The sequence below is a fragment of the Homo sapiens genome, chromosome 11, assembly GCF_000001405.40.
Source record: "Homo sapiens chromosome 11, GRCh38.p14 Primary Assembly".
Classification (NCBI taxonomy): domain Eukaryota; kingdom Metazoa; phylum Chordata; class Mammalia; order Primates; family Hominidae; genus Homo; species Homo sapiens.
The window spans coordinates 16,064,916-16,092,052 of NC_000011.10; the positions used below are offsets into that span (position 1 = coordinate 16,064,916).

The window sequence follows — 27,137 nt, forward strand, 5'->3', positions numbered from 1 at the left end:
AATGGAGAAAAACAGAAAGCCTTTCCTCTAAGATCTGGAACATGACAAAGATGTCCACTTTCAACACTGTTATTCAACATATTACTGGAAGTCCTAGCTAGAGCAATCAGACAAGAGAAAAAAACAAAGGGTATCCAAATTGAAAAGGATGAAGTCAAATTATCCTTGTTTACAGATGATATGATCTTATATTTGGAAAAACCTGAAGACTCCACAAAAACCCTATTAGAACTGATAAATACGTTCAGCAAAGTTGCAGGATATAAAATCAACATGTAAAAATCAATAGCATTTCTATATTCTAACAGTGAACAATCTGAAAAAGAAATTAAAAAGTAATGCCACTTACAATAGTCACAAATAAAATTAAATGCCTAAAAATTAACTAAAAAAGTAAAAGATCTCTCTTAGGAAAACTATAAAATACTGATGAAAGAAAGTGAAGAGGAAATCAAAAAATGGAAAGATATTTTGTGTTCATGAATTGGAAGAATCAATATTGTTAAAATGTCCATGCTACCCAAAACAATCTAGAAATTCCATGCAATCCACATCAAAATACCAATGACATTCTTCACAGAAATAGAAAAAAAATCCTAAAACTTATAGTAACCAAAACAGCATAGTACTGGCATAAAAACAGGCACATAGGCCAATGGAACAGAATAGAGAACCCAGAAACAAATCCACACACCTACAGTGAACTCATTTTTAACAAAGCTGCCAAGAATACATGCTGGGGAAAAGACAATCTCTTCAATAAATGGGGCTAGAAAGACAGGATATTCATATGCAGAAGAATGAAACTAGACCCCATCACTAGCCTTATACAAAAATCAAATCCAAATGAATTAAAAACTTAATTCTTAGACAAGACCTCAATGTATGAAACTACTGCAAGCAAACATTGAGGAAACTCTCCAGGATATGGGTCTGGGCAAAGATTTCTTGAGTAATATCCCACAAGAACAGGCAACCAAAGCAAAAATGGACAAATAGAATCAAACCAAGTTAAAAATCTTCTGCACAGCAAAGGAAACAATCAACAAAGTGAAGAGACAATCCCAATAATGGGAGAAAATATTTGCAAACTACTCATCTGACAGGGGATTTATAACTAGAATATATAAGGAGCTCAAACAACTCTTTGGAAAAAATATATTAATCCAATTAAAACATGGGTAAAATATTTGAATAGGTGTTTCTCAAAAGAAGACATACAAATGGCAAACAGGCATATGAAAAGTTGCTCAACATCACTAGTCAGAGAAATGTAAATCAAAACTACAATGACATTATCATCTCACCCCAGTTAAATGACTTATATCCAAAAGACGGTCAATAACAAACGCTGGCAAAAACATGGGAATCCCTGTACACTGTTGGTGAGAATGTAAATTAGTACAACCACTATGGAGCACAATTTGGAGGTTCCTCAAAAAGCTAATAATAGAGTTACCATATGATCTAGCAGTCCCACAGCTGGTATATGCCTAAAAGAAAGGAAATCAGTATATCAAAGAGATATCCGCATCCCCATGTTTATTGCAGCACTGTTTGCAATACCAAAGTTTGCAAGCAATCTAAGTGTCCATCAACAGATGAATGAGTAAAGAAAATGTGGTACTTATACACAGTGGAGTACTATTCAGTCATATAAAAATGAGATTGTCATTTGCAACAACATGATGGAACTGGAGGTCATTATGCCAAGGGAAGTAAGCCAGGCACAGAAAGACAAACATCATGTGTTCTCACTTATTTATGGATCTAAAAATCAAAACAATTGAGCTCATGGAGATAGAGAGTAGAAAGATGGTTATCAGAGGCTAGGAAGGATAATGGGAGGGTTTGGGGCAGGTAAGGATGGTTCATAGGTACAGATAAATAGAAAGAATGGATAAGACCTAAGTTGATATCTCAACAGGGTGACTATAGTCATGCCCAAGGCCATAGGAGCCCACCTTTTGCATCAGTTTGACCTAGATGTGGGACATGGAGTCAAAGAAGATCATTTTGAAGCTTTAAGATTTGACTGCCCTGCTGGATTTCAGACTTGCATAGGGCCTGTAGCCCCTTTGTTTTGGCCAATTTCTCCCATTTGGAATGGGTGAAGTTACCCAATGCCTGTTACTCCCATTGTATCTAGGAATTAACTAACTTGCTTCTGATTTTACAGGCTCATAGGAAGAAGAAACTTGCCTTGTTTCAGGTGAGACTTTAGACTTGGACTTTTGGGCTAATACTGGAATGAGTTAAGACTTTGGGAGACTGCTGGAAAGGCATGATTGTGTTTTGAAATGTGAAGACATGAGATTTGGGAGGAGACTGGGGCAAAATAATATGGTTTTGTTGTGTCCCCACCCAAATTTCATCTTGAATTGTAGTTCCCATAATCCCCATGTGTTGTGGAGGGACCCAGTGAGAGGTAATTGAAACATGGGGGCTGGGTTTTTCCCGTGCTGTTCTCATGATAGTGAATAAGTCTTGGGAGATCTGATGGTTTTATAAAGAGCGGTTCCCCTGCACACACCCTCTTGCCTGACACCATGTAAGACGTGCCTTTGCTCCTCCTTCACCTTCTGCCATGATTGTGAGGCCTTCCCAGCCATGTGGAACTCTGAGTCCATTAAACCTCTTTTTCTTTATAAATTACCCAGTCTCTGGTATGTCCTCATTAGCAGCATGAGGATGGACTAATGCAAGTCAATAATAATTTAAATGTACATTTTAAAAATAACTAAAATAGTGTAACTGGATTGTTTGTAACACAAAGGATAAATGCTTGAGAGGATGGATACCCCACATTATATGATGTGATTATTATGCATTGCATGTCCATATCCAAACATTTCATGTATCTCATACATGAAATAAATATTCACCTACTATGTGCCCACAAAAATTAAAATTTCAATTTAAAAAAATTCCCCTTCAAATACTACCTTCCTATTTGTAGAGGATAAAGAAAGGAAGAAAAAAAATTACTATTCTATAGAAACAGATTCAATCAGTGCTACTGAAAGACATTATCTCTTACCCTTATATTTATCCCCATTTGCTATAGTTCCACAAAATATCGGGGAACCCCAGGCCTAGCCAAGTTACCCTGTAACAGATTCTCTTCTAGTGTGACAGACATCATTCAAGGGGACAATAGAAGTTGGAGGAAACAAGTAGGGTACGGTAGGGTAGGGTAGGGAGGCATCCTTAAGGAGATGTCATCATTTATTTGATTGATGCTGCCTAACACCAAGCCTCAAGCCTAGTTCAGTTCTCCAGGGATATCCTGGATTTTGTTACCTACTCAAAACAATGCTGATGACCACTTCTTTGCCTACCAAGCAAGACATATTATAAAGCTGGGCAAGTTAAGCTGTGAGAAAGTGGAAATGGTGACAGGCGTAATTAAGCAGCCTAATTTTGTGCTTGTTTGGCACAGAGAAGAAAGTGTGTCCATAACGAGTCATTACAGACTGAAAGGAAGGGTAGGGAGAGAGCTTCAAATAATTATTTGAAAAAGATCACAAATACTTTTACTTTTCATAAATCTCCAATGTCAACAAAATGATCTAGGAAATATAGCTGTGATTTTATGGAAAGAAAGAACTGAAGTCCTTTTTTTCAGCATAGAAGGTACTTGTTCAACTACACTCCTAATATTTGAGATGAGAGAACGGGAGTAGGGGAAGAACTACTACACTCCCAGTCCTACATATTAGGTTTATTCCCAAGTAAATCTCCTTGCCCCTCCTGCATATTTTTCTATTGCACCATTTTTTCCTTTCTTATTAAAACTACCTGTCTGTCACAATCCTACTCATCTTTTCAGTCTAAACTCAAGAACCACTTTTTCCTTGAAGCGTTATCTGACTACTGCCTCCTTTGTGCTCCTATCATAGCTCAACCTTTGACCCTGTGCAAATTATGGAATTTCTTTTTTCTTCCCATATTTTTTTCTCCCACCAAATTCTGAGTTCGTTAGGGGAAACCCTGAGGCTTATTTATCTTTATGTCCCTAGCACCTAACATAATGCCTGACATTTTCAGAGGTTCTGTTAATGCTGACCATTAAAACCTCTTTCATATCCATTCTTGCCTCTATCTTCTTGGAATTGCTATCATTTCAGCCCACACCCTTTTCTCCAGAGGTGACCTCCAGAGATGGAGGTCATCTTTCTTTGTTTCTGTCTTCTTACAGTTATAAGCATGTGGGTTCACCATGTAATGCACTGATTTTCTTGCAAACACCAGAAAACAAAATGGTAGCAGAAGAAAGAATTGTGAACATCATATTCTAATACAATCTCTTTGCTACACAGAAGGAAAAAAGCTCATGCCTAGGAAAGGAAAGTGATATGCATAAAAATATCAGCTTGGTGAACAGTAAGTAGAATGAAATCTAGAACCCAGGTTTCCTACTTTCTCTATCGACTGTTCATACATACTCATTTCTCGTTGTGTTCTGTTCTCTTAGTGAACTGCAAATAGAATTTGTACATTCTATCACAACTTTTGGTTTGGGTTATATGAAAAAAATGTTTTTTTCTACCATTATCCTTAAAGAGAAATGTACCTTACAAGTACTCGTAAAGCAATCTTTGGGCACCGTAGGATAATTTAGGTTGTAGAATTTTATTTTAATATTTGTTTTAAAATGTACATATTTTAAACTGCAACCTTAGTAATTAGGTTAAGGTAATTATAATCATGTTAAGGTGTTTTCAGATTTTTAAAATTAAAGTTTATGCAAATACACATAAAGGGCCAAAAATTTGTCTCAGGTGAGAGCAGATTTATTTTCACCCACTTTGAGACTTCTGCCAATTGCCTTTTCACAACAACCAAAAGAAAAATGGAACAAGCATTGACTGTAACCCATGAGAACCAGGACCCATTTGATTCATTCATTAACCCCTGCAGCCAGCTCAAGAATGTCAAGAACAGAAAAATAATTGAGGCTGGGCACGGTGGCTCACGCCTGTAATCCCAGCACTTTGGGAGGTTGAGGCAGGTGGATCATGAGGTCAGGAGATCGCGACCATCCTTGCTAACACGTGAAACCCCGTCTCTACTAAAAATATAAAAAATTAGCCAGGCGTGGTGGCGGGCGCCTGTAGTCCCAGCTACTCGGGAGGTTGAGGCAGGAGAATGGCGTGAACCTGGGAGGCGGAGCTTGCAGTGTGCCGAGATTGCGCCACTGCACTCCAGCCTGGGCAACAGAGTGAGACTCCATCTCAAATAAATAAATAAATAAATAATAAAAATAAATTGAAAGAATAGTTTCCCTAGCTAAAGGTCCTCTTGACTATTTTTCCAAGCACTGGGTAGTTTGCTCCTCTAACATAACTCTTTGAGCTAATGGGGCAGAGGCTGCATTGGGTGTGGAGGTGAGGAGAAGCTGTAGAAAGGGAAAGAGAATAGGCTCAGACCAAAGGTCCTACCCTTACACTAAGAAACTTAAAAAAAATCTGAATCCATCAGATAACAAATCACCCAGTCCATTGTTACAAAAGTAAGCTGGAATTCATTCTTGAATTGCACCAATTATTTTGGAATGCATTCAGGAGAGCATTTCCTTATGGAACATAGTTGCAAATAATTAAGAAACAATGTGGGGAGAGGGGGCCAAGATGGTAGACTAGAAGCAGCCCATGTGTGCTGCTCTCACAGAGAAGAAACAAAAGGGTTAGTGAACACTGACCCTGCAAGCCAATCATCTCTGAAACCACGTCAGTATCCATTAAGGCAACAGAAGGACACCGAGAGCAGAGACGAGTGAAACTGGGCACCAGTCTGTCTGGGCTCAACGCAGAGCCAGGAGAACTTCTCTAACATGGGAAAGGGTGAGAGCCCCCTGGCGGGGGGGCACACTCTCCACAGGGACCTGTGCAAGACTAGGAATGGGAGAATCCTCCTAACCCCCTATATCCCTCCCATCACACTTCTAGACTGAGGCAGAGAGCTACCCAGCCATTTTACAGAAGCAATTCTTGAGTCCAAGGGGACCTCTACAAGTCTTGGGACTGAGAACAGATCAGCACCAGCACCATAGCTCCAACAGAGGTCACAGTTGTGGTGCCTGAGAGCAGTAAGATTGCTTCACCTCCCCTTACCAGACAGGGCTCAGCACCAGCTTCTGGCCCAGTGGTCCCACTTCAGCCTGAACTCAGCCAGCAGCTGTAACTTCCTCTTGTCCCAGGAAACACCCAGACAGCAGGGCAGGCAACTTTACCAAACCCTTCCACTGGTAGCCAGGCAGGCAACACCTGCTAGAGCTTCTAGCCCAGTGGTCTCACTTCAGCCTGAACTCAGCCAGCAGCTGTAACTTCCTCTTGTCCCAGGAAACACCCAGACAGCAGGGCAGGCAACTTTACCAAACCCCTCCACTGGTAGCCAGGCAGGCAACACCTGCTAGAGATTCTAGCCCAGTGGTCTCACTTCTGTCTGAACTTAGCCAGCAGGTGCAGCTTCCTGATGTCCTGGGAAGTGCCCAGAAGGCAGGGTGGATGACTCTACTCAACCCCACCTCTTGTAGCCAGGTGAGCAACACATGTTATAACTTCCAGCCCAGTGGTCCTATTTCTGCCTGGATTTGCAAGGGGACACAGCCTCCTGTTGCCTTGAAAACACCCTGATAGCAGGGCAGGCAACTCCACTGAACCCCACCTCTTGTATCCAGACAGGCCACTCCCACTAAAGCTTCCAGCCCAGTGGTCTTGCTGATGCCTGAATTCTACAGGAAGGTACAACCCAGTCTTTCCCCAGGAATAACTTGAATAGAAAATCAGGGCTGACCTGGTAAGGATACAGCTTGTCTTCCAACTGTCGTCCCTGCCTGAGGGACCCCCATAGACCAGAACACCTAACAAAAGAAATGTAGACATGGAGACAGTAATTGGAGGGGCTCCTTCAAGACCCAGACTAGAATCAAAGCCAGTCAACTGAACCCACCTTTTACCATAATCCAACCCCCAAGGGCATCTAAGAAGATTAAAAAAAAAAAAAAGAAAAACATTCAAAGGATAGCAGCTTCAAAGACTGAAGGAACATCAGCCCACACAGATGAGAAAGAACCAGCGCAAGAACTCTGGCAACTCAAAAAGCCAGAGTGCATTTTTACCTTCAAATGACCACACTAGTACCCCAGCAATGGTTCTTAACCAGGCTGAAATGGCTGAAATGTCAAAAACAGAATTCATTTCTGACTTCTATATGGATAGGAATGAAGATCATCAACATTCAGGAGAAAGTCAAAACCCAATCCAAGGAATCTAAGGAATATAATAAAATGATACAAGAGATAAAAGACAAATAGCCATTTTAAAAAGAACCAAACTGAACTGAGAGAGCTAAAAAACTCACTTCAAGAATTTCATAATACAATTGCAAGTATCAACCAGAATCTACCAAGTTGAGGAAAGAAACTCAGAGCTTCAGGACTGCTTCTCTAAAATAACTCAGTCAGACAAAAACAAAAAAATAAATAATAAAGAAGAATGAATGAAACCTCCAAGAAATATGGGATTATGTAAAGAGACCAAATCTATGACTCTTTGATGCCCTTGAAAGAGAGGAATAGAAGGCAAGCAACTTGGAAAACATGTTTGAAGATATCATCCATGAAAATTTTCCCAACCTCACTAGCTTGGCCAAAATTCGAATCCAGGAAATGCAAAGAACCTCTGTGAGATACTATACAAGATGACTGTCCCTAAGACATACAGTCATCAGATTCTCCAAGGGCAAAATGAAAGAAAAAATGTTAAAGGCAGCTAGAAAGAAGGAGCAGGTAACCTCAAAGGGAACCCCATTAAGCTAATAGCAAACTTTTCAGCAGAAACCCTACAAGCCATAAGAGATTGGGGGCCTATATTCAGCATTCTTAAAAGAAATCCTCACCATGAATTTCATATTCAGACAAACTAAGCTTTATTTTAAGTAAAGGAGAAATCAGACCCTTTCCAGACAAGCAAGTACTAAGGGAATTTATTACCAGCAGACCTGCCTTACAAGAGGCCCTTAAGGGAGTGCTAAATGTGGAAAGGAAAGACCATTACCACCCACCACAAAAACACACTTAAGTACGCAGACTAGTGACAGTATAAAGCAACCACACAATCAAGTCTGAATTATAACCAGCTAACAATATGATGATGGGATCAAACCTGCACATATCAATATTAACTTTGAATGTAAATGGGCTAAATGCCCAATTAAAAGGCATGAAGTGGCACATTGGATAAAGAAAGCAAGACCTAACTATGAGCTGTCTACAGAGACTCATCTCACATTCAGTGACACCCATAGGCTAAAGGTAAAGAGATGGAGAAAAATCTACAAGGCAAACAGAAAACAGAAAAAAGCAGGGATTGCTATGCTAATTTCAGAAAAAAAAACATACTTTAAATAAACAACAATTTAAAAAGACAAAGGAAGGCATTACATAATGGTAAAGGGTTCTATTCAATAAGAAGACCTAACTATCCTAAATATGTATGCACCCAACACAGGAAAACTCAGATTCATAAAGCAAGTTATTAGAGACCTATGAAGAGAGTTAGAGAATCATACAAACATAGATTTCAACACCCCACTGACAGTATTAGACAGCTCATCGAGCCAGAAATCTAACAAATGTATTTGGGCCCTAAACTCAACATTTGACCAAATGGGCCTAACAGCTACAGAACCCTCCACCCCACAAAAAAACAGAATATACATTCTTCTCATCTGTACATGGCAGATATGCTAAAATTGACCACACAATCAGCCATAAATAATCCTCAACAAGTTAAAAAAATAACAAAATCATACCAAACATACTCTCAGACCACAGCATGATAAAAATAGAAATCATTACTAGGAAAATCACTCAAAATTGTACAATTACATGGAAATTAAACAACATGCTCCTGGATGACTTTTGAGTAAACAATGAAATTAAGGCAGAAATCAAGAAATTCCTTGAAATTAATGAGACCAAAGATACAATATACCAGAATTTCTGGGATACAACTAAAGCAGTGTTAAAAGCAGAGTTTATAGTGCTAAATGCCCACATCAAAAAGTTAGACAGATCTCAAATTAACAACCCAATATCACAACTCAATATCCTAGAGGAACTAGAGAAACCAAAGCAAATCAACCCCAAAACTACCAGAAGACAAGAAATAACCACAATCAGAGCTGAACTGAAGGAAACTGAGATGCAAAAAACCATACAAAAAATCAACAAACCTGGTAGTTTGTTATTTGAAAGAATAAATAAGATTAATAGACCACTAGCTAGATTAATAAAGAAAACAGAACAAATAAACACAATTAGAAATTACAAAGGGGACACTACCACTGATGATACAAAATAGAGAAAACTCTCAGTGACTACTATGAACATCTCTATGCAAACAAACTAGAAAACTTAGAAAAAAACGGATAAATTCCTAAAAACATACAACTGCCAAAAATTGAACCAGGAAGAAATCAAATCCCTGAATACACCAATAACAAATTCCAAAATTGAATCAGTAATAAAAAGCCTACCGACAAGAAAAATCCCAGGATTTACAGATGGATTCACAGCTGAATTCTACCAGATGTATAAAGAAGAGGTGGCGCCATTTCTACTGAAACTATTTCTATATACCAACAATGTCCCAACTGAGAGCCAAATCAAAAACTTAATCACATGCACAATAGCCACAAAATGAATTAAATACCTAGGAATACAACTAACCAGGGAGGGGGAAGATCTCTATAATGAGAATTATGAAACACTGCCCAAAGAAATTACAGATGATACTAATGGAAAATGAATGGAAAAACATTCCTTGCTCATGGATAGGATGACTCAATATTGTTAAAATGGCCATACTGCCAAAAGCAATTAAATAGATTCAATGCAATTCCTATCAAACTATCAATGACATTCTTCATAGATATAGAAACATCTATTTTAAAATTCATATAGAACCAAAAAAGAGCTTGAATAGCCAAGGCAATCCTAAGCAAAATATAAAGGTGGAGGCATCACATTACCCGACTACAAACTATACTACAAGGCTACAGTAACCAAAACAGCATGGTGCTAGTAAACAAAACAAACAAACAAAAACAGACACATAGACCAATGGAACAGAATATAGAGCCCAGAAAAAAAGTCACACACCTACTATCATCTGAGCTTTGAAAAAGTGGACAAAAACAAGCAATGAGGAAAGGATTCCCTATTCAATGAATGGTGCTAGAATAACTGGCTATCTGTATTAGTCTATTTTCATACTGCTAAGAAGAAATACCCAAGACTGGGTAATTTATAAAGAAAAAGAGGTTTAATAAGACTCACAGTTCCACATGGCTTGGGAGACCTCACAATCATGGTGGACAGCAAAGGAGGAGCAAAGGCACATCTTACATAGTGGCAGGCAAAAGAGTGTGCGCATGAATGTTTATTGTGGCACTGTTCACAATAGCAAAGACTTGGAACCAACCCAATGTCCATCAATAATAAACTGGATAAAGAAAATGTGACACATATACACCATGGAATACTATGTAGCCATAAAAAAGGATGAGTTCACATTCTTTGCAGGGACATGGATGAAGCTGGAAACCATCATTCTCAGCAAAATATCACAAGGACAGAAAACCAAACACCACACGTTCTCACTCATAAGTGGGAGCTGAACAATGAGAACACATGGACACAGTGAGGGGAATATCACACACCAAGTCCTGTTGGGGAGTGGGGGCTGGGGGAGGGATAGCGTTAGGAGAAATACCTAATGTAAATGATGAGTTGATACATGCAGCTAACCATCATGGCACATGTTAACCTATGTAACAAACCTGCATGTTGTACACATGTGCCCTAGAACTTAAAGTATATAATAATAATAATAAAGAAATTCAAAAAAAGGAACAAAACAAAAACAAAAGTGTGTGTGGAGGGGAACTGCCCTTTATAAAACCATCAGATCTCATGAGACTTATTCACTTCCTGTGAGAACAGCACAGGAAGAACCTTTCCGCATGATTCAATTACCTCTCACTGGGTCCCTCCCATGACATGTGGGGATTATGGGGGCTACAATTCAAGATGAGATTTAGGTGGGGACACAGCCAAACCATATCACTATCCATATGCAGAATACTGAAGCTGGACCCCTTCCTTACACCATATACTAAAATCAATTCAAGATGGATTAAAGACTTAAGTTTAAAACCTAAAACTATAAAAATCCTGGAAGATAACCTAGGAAATACCATTCTGGACATAGTTCCTGGCAAAGATTTAATGACGAAGATACCAAAGCAATTGCAACAAAAACAAAAAATGACAAATGAGATCTAATTAAAGACCTTCTGCAAAGCTAAAGAAATTATCAACAGAATAAATAGACAACCTATAGAATGGGGGAAATATTTGCATACTATACATCTGAAAAAGGTCTAATATGCAGAATCTATAAGGAACTTAAATCAATAAGCAAAAAAAAAAAAAAAGAACCCCAGTAAAGAGTGGGCAAATTACATTAATAGACACTTTTCAAAAGAAGACAGACTCACAGCCAATAAGCATGTAACAAAAGTGCTTAACATCTGTATTAGTCCGTTCTCCCACTGCTATAAAGAAATACCTGAGACTGAGTAATCTATGAAGAAAAAAGTTTTAATTGGCTCATGGTTCTGCAGGCTGTACAGGAAGCATGGCTGGGAGGCCCTAGGAAACTTATAATCATGATGGAAGGCGAAAGGGAAGCAGGCACATCTTACATGTCTGGAACAAGAGGAAGAGAGAGAAGGGGGAGGTACTACACATTTTTTTTTTTTTTTTTTTTTTTTTTTTTGAGACGGAGTCTCTCTCTGTCGCCCAGGCCGGACTGCGGACTGCAGTGGCGCAATCTCGGCTCACTGCAAGCTCCGCTTCCCGGGTTCACGCCATTCTCCTGCCTCAGCCTCCTGAGTAGCTGGGACTACAGGCGCCCGCCACCGCGCCCGGCTAATTTTTTGTATTTTTAGTAGAGACGGGGTTTCACCTTGTTAGCCAGGATGGTCTCGATCTCCTGACCTCATGATCCACCCGCCTCGGCCTCCCAAAGTGCTGGGATTACAGGCGTGAGCCACCGCGCCCGGCCGGTACTACACATTTTTAAACAACCAGATCTCATGAGAACTCACTCACTATTATGAGAACAGCAAGAGGGAAATCCACCACTATGATCAAATCACCTCTGACCAGGTCCTTCTTCCAACACTGGGGATTACAATTCAACATGAGATTTGGGTGGGGAAACAAATCCAAACCATATCAATATCACTAGAGAAATGCATTAGAAAAATGCAAATCAAAACCACAATAAGATGCCATCTCCCACCAGTCAGAATGACTATTATTAAAAAGCCAAAAAATAACAGATACTGGTGTGGTTATATACTGCTTGTAGGAATGCAAGTTAGTTCAGCCATTGTGGAAAGCAGTGTGGTGATTTCTCAAAGAACTTAAAACAAAAGTACCATTTGACCCAGCAATCTCATTATGGGGCATAAACCCAAATGAATATAAATCATTCCACCTCCAAGACACACACGTGTATGTTCATTGCAGCACTACTCACAATAGCAAAGTCATGGAATCAACCTAAATGCCCGTCATAGTAGACTTGATAAAGAAAATGTGGTACATAGACACCATGAAACACTATGCAGCCATGAAAAAGAACCAGATCATGTTCTCTGCAGCAACATGGATGGAGCTGGCAGTCATTATCCTAAGCAAACTAATGCAGGAACAGAAAATCAAATACCACATATTCTCACTTACAAGTAGGAGCTAAACTTTGAGAACACATGGCCATAAAGAAGGGAACAACAGACACTGGGGCCTACTTGAAGGCAGAGAGTAAGAGGAGGAAGAAGATAAAAAAAATATCTATCAGGTACTACACTTATTACCTGGGCGATGAAATAATTTGTACAACAAACCCTTGTGACATGCAATCTATCTAAATAACAAACTTGCCAAAAAAAAAGGTGGAGATGAAATACTCAATCTCTCTCTCTCTGCTTTTTCCAAGTATTTTTTCTTTCAGGGTGCTAAATAAAATATGTTAACATATAATGCCTTATTTACAGAAATAAAAGTTAGTTATTGAAACAATTTGTAATTTAGTTCTTGAAGTAAGAAATACAAAAAGGTGATAATTAGGGCAGTTGAAAATCAGCATTATGGGGATAGATGTGTTTTCCTTTTGTTTCCAAGAGCTGGGCAGACCATGCTGAAGAGATTCAGTTCTCTGAATTTGCTCCAAGTGGTACGGCTTATATTTGTAATGTTCCTTTATCTCTTGTCACAAAGCTTCAGCTCATCAGGTAAACTTTAAATACGTACATCTTGACTCTTCTAATAAGATATAAAAACTCATCAATGAGTCCAGAAATTAGATTTGAAATCTAAGTATTATTTCCCACAAACTAAGAGTCATAAGGAAGTTCTCAATGTGTACATATATTTTAGTACATGTGCTGAGTCCAATCATGTATTTTTAGTAAATGAATATATGTCAATTTACCAATATTTGAATGTGTAATTTCTTAGTAAACAAAAGGTTAATTCAGTCATTCAATCAAATATTATTTATTGAGTTGCTACTATGGGCCAGGTATCATTTTGGTTTTGGAAAAGCAGACGTGGGCAGTGACTTTGTGGGAGGAGGAAGGGAGAACAAGACAGATAAGCATATAGATATGTAAATCTGGTGGTGATATGTGCTATGAAATATAAAGTGATCAGGTATATGAGTATGGGGTAGGCTGGGAGGCTTTCAGAGAGGTCAAGAAAACTCAGAGAAGGGGACATTTGAATAAAGACCTGAGCTAAGTGAGAGAGTAAGCCATGTCATTATATGAGGACAGCATCCAAGCAGAGGCAAAGTATAATTGAAAGTCCTATGGCAAGGGTGTACTTGTGCTTGGAATGTTTGAGGAATAATGAAGAGACCAGTGTAGCTGAGCTGGGCAAGAGGTAATATGTCAGGTGTCAGAAAGATAGCAATGGGGCCAGATCATGTAGGTCTTATATACCATGAAACCGACTTTGTGTTCCATTCTGAGTTTCTGAGTTTCTACGAAACACCATTAAAACAACATGGCAGACCTGGAAATCCCTCAGCAATACCCACATAAGAATCTGGAGATATGCCAGGGCTGCCTTGCCTTGGCCCACAATGACTGCCAAGGAACCAGATGCTGTTGCTTGAAAAATAATGTACACTGCCCAGCTTCTATGCCCTTCGATTTCCATCCATAATGAAGCTTCCAAAAGAACACAGAATAAAGGCAAGCATGGGTAACTGTGTAATGACAAGAAAAAGGTCTTTACTTAAATTGTGAAATATATATACTTGATAAAATAAAATTGCACAAAAGGAAAGTATAAGATTATTCGAATGCTATTTTTTCACTTAATTATTGGACAGAACAAATATTACTAGTTGGAAATGAACATGCTTATTATATCAAAATGTTTTTACTGTTTTTAAGCTAAACTAGGTATTTAATTTCTCAGCAGACTTTGAAAGATTGCAAACAAAAATCATGCTAATGAACAAAAATAATAATACATAGATTTATTAAATATAAATTTCATGTTAATACTAAAGTAAAATATGTGTTTGTTATAAATATCGAGACATAAGGAAGTATTTTGAATTTACTTATAAGTGATCAGGTAGACTAGACAAGAAATATAAAATATCGTCTTCTTACTTTCTTCTTACATTTTCTTCTGTATTTTTTAAATTAAAAAAAATGTTTTACCCCATTTCAAGGCAACTTTACTAACCATCACTTTTTAAACTGCAAATTATTAGTACTGCCAACTGGAGAACTTCAGCACATTTTGCAGCACGTAAATATGCCATCTGTATCCTACAGTAATACCTGTGGCTTAACTCTCTAATTAGCTAAAGAAATGATACCTTATATATATCAACCATAGTAAAAATCATTCAAATAGTATATAATAAGCATACAATGTGCTTTATTGTCATTAGATATGATACTGATATACAGCACAATAATCCACCTTGAAAAATTCCTATAGCAGGTAAAGCAGGTAACAGTTAATATAAAAGACTGAAAATTGCACATGTACCCTAAAACTTAAAGTATAATTAAAAAAAAAAACATTCTCATCACACCAAAAAAAAAATAAGGCGATAGATATGTTAATTACCTTGATTGACTCTTTCTACAATGTATACATAGATCAAAACATCACACTGTACCCCATAAATGTGGACTATTATTATTTGTCAATTATAAATAAATATTTAAGAAAACTAAAAAAAAAAAAAAAAAAGACTGAAAAAGAAATTTAGAAAAAATGAGGTCTTACAAGTTTCTATGAGAGAAAGAATAGTATAGTAAACCACTGTTAACTAGCTGTGTGATCTTGGGCAGTTATTTAATCTCTCTGGGCCTTACATTTCCACATCTGTGAAAATGGGGATAACAATAGAACCTACTCTGAAAGATTTTTGTATGGAGTAAATGAATTAACATGCAGAATGTGCTTAAAACATAGGCACATTATGAAGACTTAATACTCATAGGCTCTTGTTATTCTTAAAGGTACATTCTTCTTTAACAGAAATCACTCTAAAGATCTTATTCAGAAAAATACTTATTGGCATTTTTATTTAATTTAGCAAAAATATATTACTGATGCAAAGATGAAGAAGATATGCTGTCTTTCAGGACATCAAAGATATGCTGTCTCACAGCACGGATGGGAAGAAGACAGGGAGAAAAACATAATATAATAAATGGTATAATGGAAGCATTTACAACTTACTACTGAAACACCATCACTGGGAACAATTAATTTGGACAGAGGAACAGTTAGGTAGGCTTTACTCACAGTGAAGCCCCAGAAAGAGGCCCTTTGTTAACTAAAAGTTTAAAAATAGCCAGGCACAGTGCAACATAGGGAGACCCTGTCTCTAAGACTTTTTTAAAAAAATTAGTCAGGCATGGTGACTCAAGCCTGTAATTTCAGCTATTCCAGAGGCTAAGGTGGGAGGATCACTTGTGCTCAGGAGTTCAAGGCTGAAGTGAGCTATGATTGTACCACGGCACTCCAGCCTGGGCAAGAAAGCAAGATCCCATCTCTAAAAAAAAATAATAATAATTTTTTAAAAATCTAGCAGAATTCACACCAGTCCCTGCAATGAGGAAGCGTTTGGGCTAATGGAGTTTCTGTTCTGTATTTAGTAATATCTCTCCTTTCAGCCCATTCTTTTGGACTCGTACCCCTAGACTGTATTTCACAGAGCTAAGATGTTCACACTAAGGGCCAGTGTGGTGTTGAGAGTCTTAAGATTTATAAAATGCACCACTTCTCTGGAAAAGGAGAAATCACCCTTGGCTCTTCATGTAGGGAACAAGAACTTTCTTTTATCCTTTTTATTGTCAATTTAAAGATGACACAAAAAAAATGAAGGAAAAAATCTTTAAGCATTCACAGTACTAATTTAGGGGAGATTTTTCTAAATCTTAATATCTCCTCTGTGCCTGCCATAACACCCCTAGAAAACTCTCATTACATGATGTAAAATCACAGCTTTAGTTGGTTAAGAGGGCATAATTCCAAGTGGACCATGGAATATTTATGTCGCTATGCAGCTCTTTGAAGGAATAATCTTATGTTTTTATGCCTGTTGTGGGTCAGAGGTTCAAATCAGCACTTCTTTCTGTCACTTCTTATGTGTTTTACTATAATTTACAGCTCAGCAAGATGAATCATAAGACAAAAGTGTCTATTTTATTTCAGCAACTAATTCTAGTTAATCAAAGATTTCCAGCCCAGCAACCCAGCATGAAACTCTGCATGGAAAATATGAGGAGAACAAAGCATTTTGTCAAATAACATATCTCATGATGTAAACACATATGTCTCTTAAAGGAAATTTTATCGTTTCCACATTATCGGCATACAAAAGGAGCATTCTTGTCACAGACCTGGTGCGACTGTGGAGTCATCGTCACTGGAAACAAGAGCCTGATTAGGTTCCCACACAGATATGAATAGACTTTCCTTTTTTAGAGGAATAGCTGCTTTTATTCCTTTTTAAAACAGACTGGTAATTGTCACCCTAAAAACACTGAATTGTACTAGGGCAACATTTGTTTCTGCTCTTTTTTCCCATCTTTTTAGAATCAGCCAATAACATTACTATCCCTTCTGGTTGGTCCTCTTCTGGAAAGTCTGAGTTAATCCACAGCTGTGTGAATGTGAAAAAGGGACACAGCAGGCTAAGTCTGTTGGGTCTCTTGTCTGCTAATAAAGTGAACAGTCTGCAGGACAGATGTTAAGAGGATCTGTTAAATAAGTCAGTGGCAGAGATCCTGACCTCTGCCAAGGAACATTTTATTATTCCAGAAAGGGGCATAATTGCAAGGCATTAACAATTAGAAGAACCATAGCTTTTCTTTATAGATTTCTTACTTCTTGCTTCATTATTTGGTTGAAATACAGTATCAAGGCCCATTCACTGAGAAGCAATGTGCTAAATATGATTGGGCTTAGTATAAACTGCAGATTACAGGATTTCCCCAAATCCCCAGGAAATGGTTGGACCTTGGCTTTGCTTCAGTCTTAAACAGTTTTGTTTATTCAGCATGTATCATTACACTATTTGTACAGTCTCATTTGCCACAGGGTACCATTGTACTAAAGGGACTATCAATCTTACCAAACACAGTGCCTTAACTATTAAATCTAGTGTAATGGGAAATGTAAACTAGAGATCAAATTAAGAGGAATATCACACCATAAAGTTGTTCACTATACCTTATACTACTTTACCATTTATGGTGTGAATAAAATCATGTCTACCACATGCATTCCAAATTCCCTTGTGCAGTGTAAAAGGCACTCTGTGATCTGACCCCTTGCATACCTTTCCAATTTCACCTATGATTGCTCCTGTACACTCAGGCTGTGCCAACTGTTTGTCGTTTCTGAATGTGCCGTGCTGTCTATTGCTTCTACACCTATGGGTAGCTATTCTCTTTGTCTGGAGTGCTTTTTCTCTTCTCTGCATCTTTGCCATTCTGCATCCTTCCCCATAAACCTGGGGAACTTATACCTCCTTTTAAGATTCAATTTTAACATCACCTTATCCATGAAGATTGCCAGTACTTCCCCAGGGGGAGCTAAGCACTTCCTCCTTTCATAGCATTTCACTCGGGGAACACATCTATTTTAACAATTATCACATTGCTTACTAGATTGTGGGCCCTTCAGGGGCAAGAGTCAAATTCTCTTGATCTTAGTGTGCCCAAAATAGAAAAGAGTGCATACTACAGAGTAGGCACTTAATAAACATTTGAGGAATCAATCTATGAATGAACTAATTAAATAATTACTCTTTTCATCGTGTTAGCATAAGCTTATATTCTAGCTTTGTCACTGCTACCAGCACTGTAACAGGGTCTTACACTTTTAATGCCTTACTTTGTTTTGTTAATGAATAATTTTCATTAGATTGGTATATTCGCTTGTGAAAAAAATATATCTCTACTAATACTGATCGCTCATTGACTCCCACTTAGAATAGGTAGGAGCATGAGATATACTGTCCTCTTGGCCAATTCAGTTGAATTTAGTTAAATCTATGTACAAGAAGCAATCAAATTTAGTTATTTACACTGTTGGCTAACAATTCTATACATCTAAACCAGGCCACAGACTAGCTGTGTGGCTTTGGTCAAGTTAATCTATCTCTCTAGACCTCAGTTTCTTCAACTATAAAATTATAAGATTTATATAGCACTTGACAGTGTATAAAGCACTTTTCACAAACATTTTCTTATGTATTCCTCACAACTTCCCTATGGGGGTATTTTTCCTAATCCCATTTGATAAAAGCTAGGTACCAGGAAGATTAATTTGTCCAAGCACATGGAACCAGTGGTAGAGTTGGGACTTGACCCTCAAAGCCTCTGAAGACCTTTCTAGCTCTGAAAGTCTATGGAATTGTACAATCTCATTGCCTATTTGTGAAGGCTTTATTTTCAATAACATGACATTTGTTTCATGATTAGTGGGAAATCTATGTTAAAGTACCCTAATTGTGGAGTGGCTGTCACTTCTTGCTAAAGAGCACTGTACTGGGCCTCATGCTTTTTGAAACCAGGAACAGTCATCAGGCATAGAAATTAGGACAAAAGGGTTTCAAACTGCCTATACACAATCACCTTGGGCAATCAATAAATCAGTATATATATGTACATACACACATGCTATACATACACACACATCTCAAATGATTAGCCCTATACTATCTGTTCCTATCACCTTAAAGTATTACTCATTTAATTTATTTCTTCCTCAGACTATTACTATAAGAGGGCAGTAATTTCTTAGCTTCATTGCTTAAAAGAGTACCTAAGGTACATAGTACATGTTCAATAAATATTTTTCAAATTAATGAATGAATAAGAGAGATACAAGCAGAAGAGTATGGACAAACATATTTATTGAGCATCTACCATGCAGCAGACACTGTACTAAGCAATTTGCTTATATTATCTCATTTAATCCTAACCCCAACCCTACTGAGGGGGTGTCATTATCCCCAGTTCACAGACGAAGAGACTGAGGTTCACAGGAAATTAGCTCATGATCACTTAGCTTTTTTAACTGCAGAATTCTTATGGAACCAAGAAGCACCACTTTCCTGGAACCTCTAATCCATTCACCATTGTATAGACAGAGAACATGTAAGACAGCAAGCCAGCTGGTAAACCAAGGGTAGCATGTTGTTTCAATAAATGGCTACAAATCATCATCTGATGATATATAGTCATCTTTCTGTTTCACAGTGGGGTATGTCTGTATTTGGCAATAGAGTTTCATTAATCAGGAAATGGAGGCAGAGGTAGATCTAAAATCAGGAGGGTTTGGTTGGATATAGGTGAATGATAGATGACTATTTTGTTCTGCATTTAAGAAATGCCTCTTTATCAACACCATTGATAAATGAACGGAGAAGTGAAGAATTTCCACCCAAATTAGTCACATTTAGTCTTCTACTATTTCAACAAAGCTTCTGTCTCTTGGTCTCAGGATCTCACTCTCTTGCCTTCTCTATTGTGTTATGTCTGAGCCAATGACATAACTACACATTATGAATGTACTGCCTCTTGGGCCCTGGAACAAACCCCTATTTGGCCATGAAGAGGATGTTCTGAGCAGGTGAACAGCAACACTGAGAGAGGATATCTTTTTCTTTGTGAGCTAAGGAGCTCCTCAACTCTGGAGGGCAATCCCAGTATGGTGAGGACTGGTTGGGGCACATGCTCCATTCCAGTGACAGTAAGTGTTTCTCCTTTTCTTAAAAAAAAAAATTGCTTTTTTTAAAGCAGACCAAGTGATAAACTATTAAGAAGCTAAACTACCTTTCTTATAGAGTTTTTAAACTGAGCCTCTGAGAAGGAGTTTGATAAAATTCAATGAAGTAATACCTTTGTCCATTTGAGCATTAAATGGCCCATTGAAATACAGCTTAGATGGAGGGAATTTCAAAAGACAGTACTTTCCAATTTTTTTAGAAAATTTCTCTCCCAGCTGACTAGAGCAGAGCTTACAAAATGCAGCTCAATCACTTTCCACAGTCTCTCAGGTCAGCCTCTCACCAGCGTTAATTAAATATAACCCCCTTAGAATACGAGAGGTTAAGTGAGAGCAACATAGCATTCTTATCCAATACATTACTGTGAACATAAATGACCATAATCTGTTTATAAGAAGACTTCTTTTAGCACAGAGGTCTCACTAATGAAAAATTATAAGAGGCAAAGCAACATAATGTGACAACTGTTCATCACAAAACACATTTTAAACTACCCATTTCCACATCCATTGTGCTTAAATAACACATATCATAAAGAAAATTGGTGTAACAGATGGTTTCAGTTCTGGGTAGCAAATGCTACCAGTTTTCAGTGTGATAAAGGGAAACAGTAAAAGCCAGTACATAATTCAGGCAGTCTCTTACCTAAAGGTCTTCCTTCTCCTCAAGTTAGAGACACTTTCCCCACAAGCTTCAAGTTTTAGTATTTTTTCTTTTTTAACTAGATGCTGAATCTTCTATGGCACAACTTGAACAAACTCTAAAACTGAATAATTGCTGAAACAATATGTTTCTATACTAGCCACTTTAAATTAGAAAAGTCTCTTTAAGCTACAGGTTTATGGTTCTAAAAAGTTCCATGCACTGCCCAGAGCTATTTGTAAATTAAATCGTTTAAAATAAAGCTCTTTAATACTCTATAATTAGTCTTGTCTCTCTGAACATGACTTTACTGTAAATGCTCCTTCTTGACTCTCCTATTGTCCCAAGATTCCTGAGAAGAAAGCAGCCAGGCGATAATTCAACATTATTGCTGCTTCAGTGCACTAATCGCTTAAAGAGCAGCAAAGACTCTGTGCTCTCTGCCCCACAGTTCCCGCAGACTCCTGGCCTGAGGCAGGCATCGTGACCCAGCAACATCCAGATGTCAAGAGGAATACCCAGCTCCTAATGCAGCAGGCGCTCCATCCCAGTATGGTCAAACATCTGCTTCATCTGCTGGCATGCAACCTGCTGAACATGCTCAGAGTGCATCCCAGACTAGGGATGGGCAAGGATAGAGCTCCCCAGCTACTCCAGGAGACTCATCAAAACTTTGAAACTATAAGACAGGCCCAGAAACTCTCAAAAAAACAGGGTTCTGGCATTCAGCAAAAACATACTAAACATTTTCCTAAAGGAAAGCCACGGAATAAGATAAGACAGTTTTTATCACAGTAGTTCTACTGCTCATTAAATTCTCTTAGGTTTGACGTTTATTCTGGATGTTAACTGGAAATTTGAAAAATACGTGAACTCTTTGGGATTCTGAGAATGTCATACTGACTTTGAAATTTTTCTCTTTTATAATTTAATTAAGTTGCCTTTAATTCACTTGAATATTATAACAAGAGAAGAATAAATTATACAAGAAAGCTTCTATTCCTATATACCAGTCAACAGAGCTTAATGCCAAGAATCCTGACCAAGAGGTAAAATTTAAAATACACTTAAACCATCTATTACAGTCCTATTTTGTTTACTAGAATAGTAATCTTGTCTAAGTCACTTAACTCTTCTGAGCTTCACTTTCTTCTTCCAAAATATGGGAATAATATTAAAACATTTACACAAAGGCTAAATATAAATTGTTTTTTAACTGTAAAAGGCTATAAAATAGGTATGTGTTTATACATGTATACATATATGTATGTATATATGTGTACACATATAATATTAATACTACTCATGTTTCTTTTAAAAATTTTGTTTTAGAAAGAAATTTAGTCTCCTTTGTAATATCCAATTTACACATCAATTATAGCTAAGAATGATTTCATTCATCCTATGAGATTTCGGTAACTAGCATCCTATAAAACCTAATGAACAGTTCCCAGGTTCTCACCAAATTTCATATTTACTTCACTGTGAAAGGCAGACTTATATACTATTAAACTAAAAAATAATATTCCCTTATTGACAGCCTGAGTACATGATATGCTTAATACTACTGAAGAGAGTTGTGACTGTTCTAGCCAGAAGTGACTGGCTAGAATAAAAGTTTTAGTCTTAAATATCAAAGTGAAGGAAAAAAAAACTGAGGATAAACAGTCTAATAGGTCTTAATTTTAAAAAATTTTCCCACCCAGATTGAGGCAGATGGGATAGGTGAGGATATTTCTGCTAAGATGAGTAAGATTTGCAGTCTCATTTCTTTATTATATATTCCTTTCCTTATTTTCTCTTCTCCCACTAGAAGGTAAAATTCTCAGAGGGCAGGGACTTTGTTTTATTCATTGATACGTCCCCACTATGTAAAATAGGTGTTCTCAATCTTCGCACTATTGGAATTTTAGACTGTATAATTCTTTGCTGTGGGTGGCTGTTCTGTGCTTTGCAGGGTGTTTAGCAGCATCCTCACCCTCTAGACATTGTCAACCACACCCTTGTGGGACAGGGTGGGGGGTGGGGAAAGTTGCCCTCAGCTGAAGACTGCTGTCTAGTACAGGACCTGGCATATAATACGTGCTAAAAAATTTTTTTGCTGAGTAATTGAATTAAATTTATTGTGTTAATTTGCTTGCAAACTTTCTTAAATACTTTTCTTAGGGTAGTTTTAGGTTTGCAGCAAAATTAAGAGGAAAGTAAAGCGATTTCCCATATACTCCCTGTTCCCATACATGTACAGTCTCCCCCATTATAAACAGCCCCCACCTGAGTGGTATATTTGTTACAATTGATGAGCCTACATTGACACATCATAATCACCTAAAGTCCAGAGTTTACATTAGGGTTCACTCTTGGCGTTGTACATTTTATGTGTTTGGACAAATATATAATGACATGTATCTACCATTATACTCTCATACAGAATATTTTCACTACATAATATTTCACTAAAAATCCTCTGTGCTCTGCCTTTTCACCCCTCTCCTCATCCTAAATCCCTGGCACCCACTGATATTTTTACTGTCTCCATAGTTGCGCCCTTTCCAGAATGTCACATAGTTGGAATCATGTAGTATGCTGCCTTTTTCAAATTTCCTGAGCATGATCATTTATAAACTCTCTTTAAATGTAGATTTTGACACAACTCTAATGATACAATAAGTGTTAAGTTATTCCAACAGTTACATTCAAAGCTACCACATGTGATTTCAAGTAAGAAGAATTTTAAAAGGATGTAATACTTCATTCTTTCTTTAATTTAAATGAGTAGATAAATTAGAGGGAAAACTTGATAGGGAATTTGTAGGGTGACAGCAGCTCTATTTCAAACTGGCTTCAAATGAGCACTGTAGGCTTGCACTTTGTATAGTTTGAGATAGTCAAATACACGGATATATTTGAAGCAATAAATTTTTCATACATATCTGTCACTTATTTACTTTTGTTTTAGTTCATACCATTCAAGGTCAATAGCTCTAGGGGAATTGCTGACAAGGCATCAAGGATTATGGTCTAGGTTAATATAGACATTGTAACATCAACCTGTAGCCTGTTGGTTACAGGTATGGTAGCTGGTGCTATAAGAGAAACACACAGTGAGAAATGAACTCAATGCAGTTTATTGGAAATTAAGAATTCTAGTTTAAATCTTTGCTTCTCCAAATGAATATGAAGAGAGAGGCCTTAGGAAATTTATTTGGCTCTAACTTGGTTCCATTTCTTAGTCCATTAAATGGAAATGCAAATACTTGGTTAAATATGCATTGAATGGATATCAGTATCAAATAATTCATGTTTAGAAAACCGGGGGGAAAGCGTTAAATTAGTTCCTCTCAATTTGACTCAAGATGACTCTACTGCTGTCACCAATTATAAGAGAAGAATGAAAGGTAGGAACATATATAATGATTTTTTAAAATCCACATACTACCCACATAGCACCTGATACATATTTAGTGCTTGTTTATTTACATATAATTGAGAAAAGAATCCTTTATTAATGCCATTTAAGCTTGGGAAGATACAGAAGAGAATCCAGTTATTATCCTAATCTTTATAATCTAGAACAGCTAAAATAAAGCAAGATGTTTTCAAATCAGTACATTGAGTTTAAATCATCATAAATTTTCCCTGAGTTTACCTGTAGCATATGAACTCTTCTACAAATAAAACAGAAAAGAGGAACTGGCAGAACAGTAATAGCTATGTGCCAGCTCTAGTGGTCAGAAGTGAGGAGAAACCATCCAACTGTAGCTTCTCAATCTCTTTTAATTAAAATATCGTAAAAAATGTCTTTCTCCTGTTCTGCCTATTCTGTTACCTGGAAGGTCAAATATTTTATCATATATTTTTCTGAATATAAATTTCCTAAATGTTGAATATCCTGACTTATTCCATGGTTGGAAACAGAAGTGAAGCATTTTCTAAAATGCTAGAATGTTTTGCTTTCAAACTTTCTAATGTACCCTTAATCACATCATCTCTCAGAATTCCAACGTAGCTCATTACAACATATACATACATGCAGATATATGATACATAATATCAACCAAAAATATTTTAAAACTTCAGTTTGGTAAAACAGGAATAAAAATACCTGTCATTATTTTAGAAATCATCACATCTTACAAGAAATCTATGTAAATGTAATTACATGCGTTCACACACTGGAAGCTGCCTATTGAGTGGATTAATTAGTGGGGCTAGAGCTAAATGACTGTTGACAAAAATCTTGTATCAGGAGAGATAGAGGACTACATTGGTTTTGAGTATAGCTGACTATCCCACCAATCAAATAACTCAAACACAGTGATTAACAGAGCTTATGTGAGAAGAGCCAACTCTCTGAACTTTCAGGTATTACTTTAAAACCAAATAAAAAGCAAAGTTCCAAAAGAAAATCCAGTTTATCCAATGTTTTAGTTTGAGGGTGGGTATAAACTTCTGCTTCACTGACTACAATGGCAAGCTAGATTTCTAAGCATTAGGAATTGCCTTTATATTTGGCATCCTTCCCTAATCTACCTATATTTCTTTAGCCTCCATTAGGATTCACTTGATACCTGCACTTTTTCTTAAGAAGCCTATCTAGAAAAGTTGTTGACATAAAAGAGTGTCTCTTATAGACAGAGCACTCAACCAAATATTTTCCGGAAAAAAAAAAGGTTTTCAAAGGAGCTTGGGTCCCAGATGTCCACCAAAGATGAAATGCATTAATTCGTCCATTTTGCCAAATACTGTGCTAGGCAATGCTAAGGATTCCACAGTAAACAAAAGAGACAAAAAATTCCCTGAATTAATTAACTTATACTCTAGTAGGTTAGACCCACCCATCAGAAGTACTTTAGACAATAAATCTAGAGTAGAATTGACTGCTTACTGAGGTTACTGAAAAGTTTTACCTATTCTGATGATGGTTCAGGGAACATTTGTGGAAATCTAATACATGCTTTATTATTGCATTTATCATTTATAAGAACCCTGAGAATGTATATTATGCTCATTTTACAATGAAAAAAACTGCAAATGGAGGTATTTTGTAACAGTGCAAGACAACAGAGCAAGAAAGTTATAGTGGAAACTCTAATCCAAAGTTCTAATTCCATAAATGGAGTTAATTCCATTAGCCTACAGCTCATCTAAGCCTAGTTGTAATGGTCCTCCCAAATTCCACCACACTCTTAAAAATCAAGAAAAGAGTCAGAAGGGTGAGTGAAGGCTGATTAAGAGAAAAGCATGCATTCTCTTCAAAGCAGAGCCCCATGGCTGGCATCCTCAAAACAAGCTTTGAGTCAGTTCATTCCTCTTTCTCCATTGGGTAGCCAGTAATAGGTCACCCTAATCATCTATTTATTCCACCCTCTTCTCTATTAGAAATCACAACTTTCCAAGACTGCCCAGCAAAGCTAACTCCATCACCCTCCCATTCCCCCACACCACTGAGGCATCTTTACAATTGCAAATAAGAAGACAGGGTACAACAGACAGTGCAGAGCCTCTAAATACAACATCATAAAGACTCAGGCTGCAACTGAAATAGAAATACAGCATTCTCAATGCTGATGGGCACTTCTTTACTTTCCATTTGTAGCACAAAAATTGACAATATCATTTAAATAAAATATGTGCTTGTATTCATTTTTGCAAAAACTTCAATTGTTCTCCTCCATCTTTGCAAACTTGGCAAGACTTCAGTAGTTTCATTTAAGAATAACGTATGGTTGACAGGTTTTCTTAGTGCTTTAAGACTCTAACTATATTCCTTTCCTCAAATCTCCCCTAAACTACACATAAGACCCATCAAATAACAGTGAAAATTGCATTTATATTGACATTTTTAATTTTCTTATACAATTCTTTCATTTAGGCTACTATCCATACTATCATTATAAGAAATAGTCTGTTAAAATATGTTCCAACTAAAGCTTAGTGAACTTTAAATGCTAGACAAAAATCATTCTCTGAAGCTAATGAAGACAGAAACTCTGCCTGTAACAATATTAAGTTTGTTTTTTTCTGGTGATTCAGAGAAGTGAGCAATCTGTCAGTAATACATTGAGTGAAATTACT

At 37.2% G+C, this 27,137-nt stretch overlaps 1 protein-coding gene across 6 annotated transcripts in view, besides 2 other annotated features; it reads right to left on the reverse strand.

Moving 5' to 3' along the window:
• Positions 1-27,137, reverse strand: part of SOX6 (SRY-box transcription factor 6) — a 772,029-nt gene that overhangs the window by 98,467 nt on the left and 646,425 nt on the right. The gene's annotated exons all lie outside the window — the stretch shown is intronic.
• Positions 214-358: an enhancer, noted in NCBI's record as "145 bp 11:16086747 sequence used in MPRA reporter constructs". NCBI's record gives its function as "activates a minimal TATA-containing promoter with rs2953060 allelic activity by MPRAs in C283T melanocytes {active_cell/tissue: C283T}" and the evidence as "EXISTENCE:reporter gene assay evidence [ECO:0000049][PMID:36423637]".
• Position 286: a transcriptional cis regulatory region, noted in NCBI's record as "rs2953060 or 11:16086747 MPRA-significant variant associated with a GWAS melanoma risk locus at 11p15.2". NCBI's record gives its function as "allelic transcriptional activity by MPRAs in C283T melanocytes {active_cell/tissue: C283T}" and the evidence as "EXISTENCE:reporter gene assay evidence [ECO:0000049][PMID:36423637]".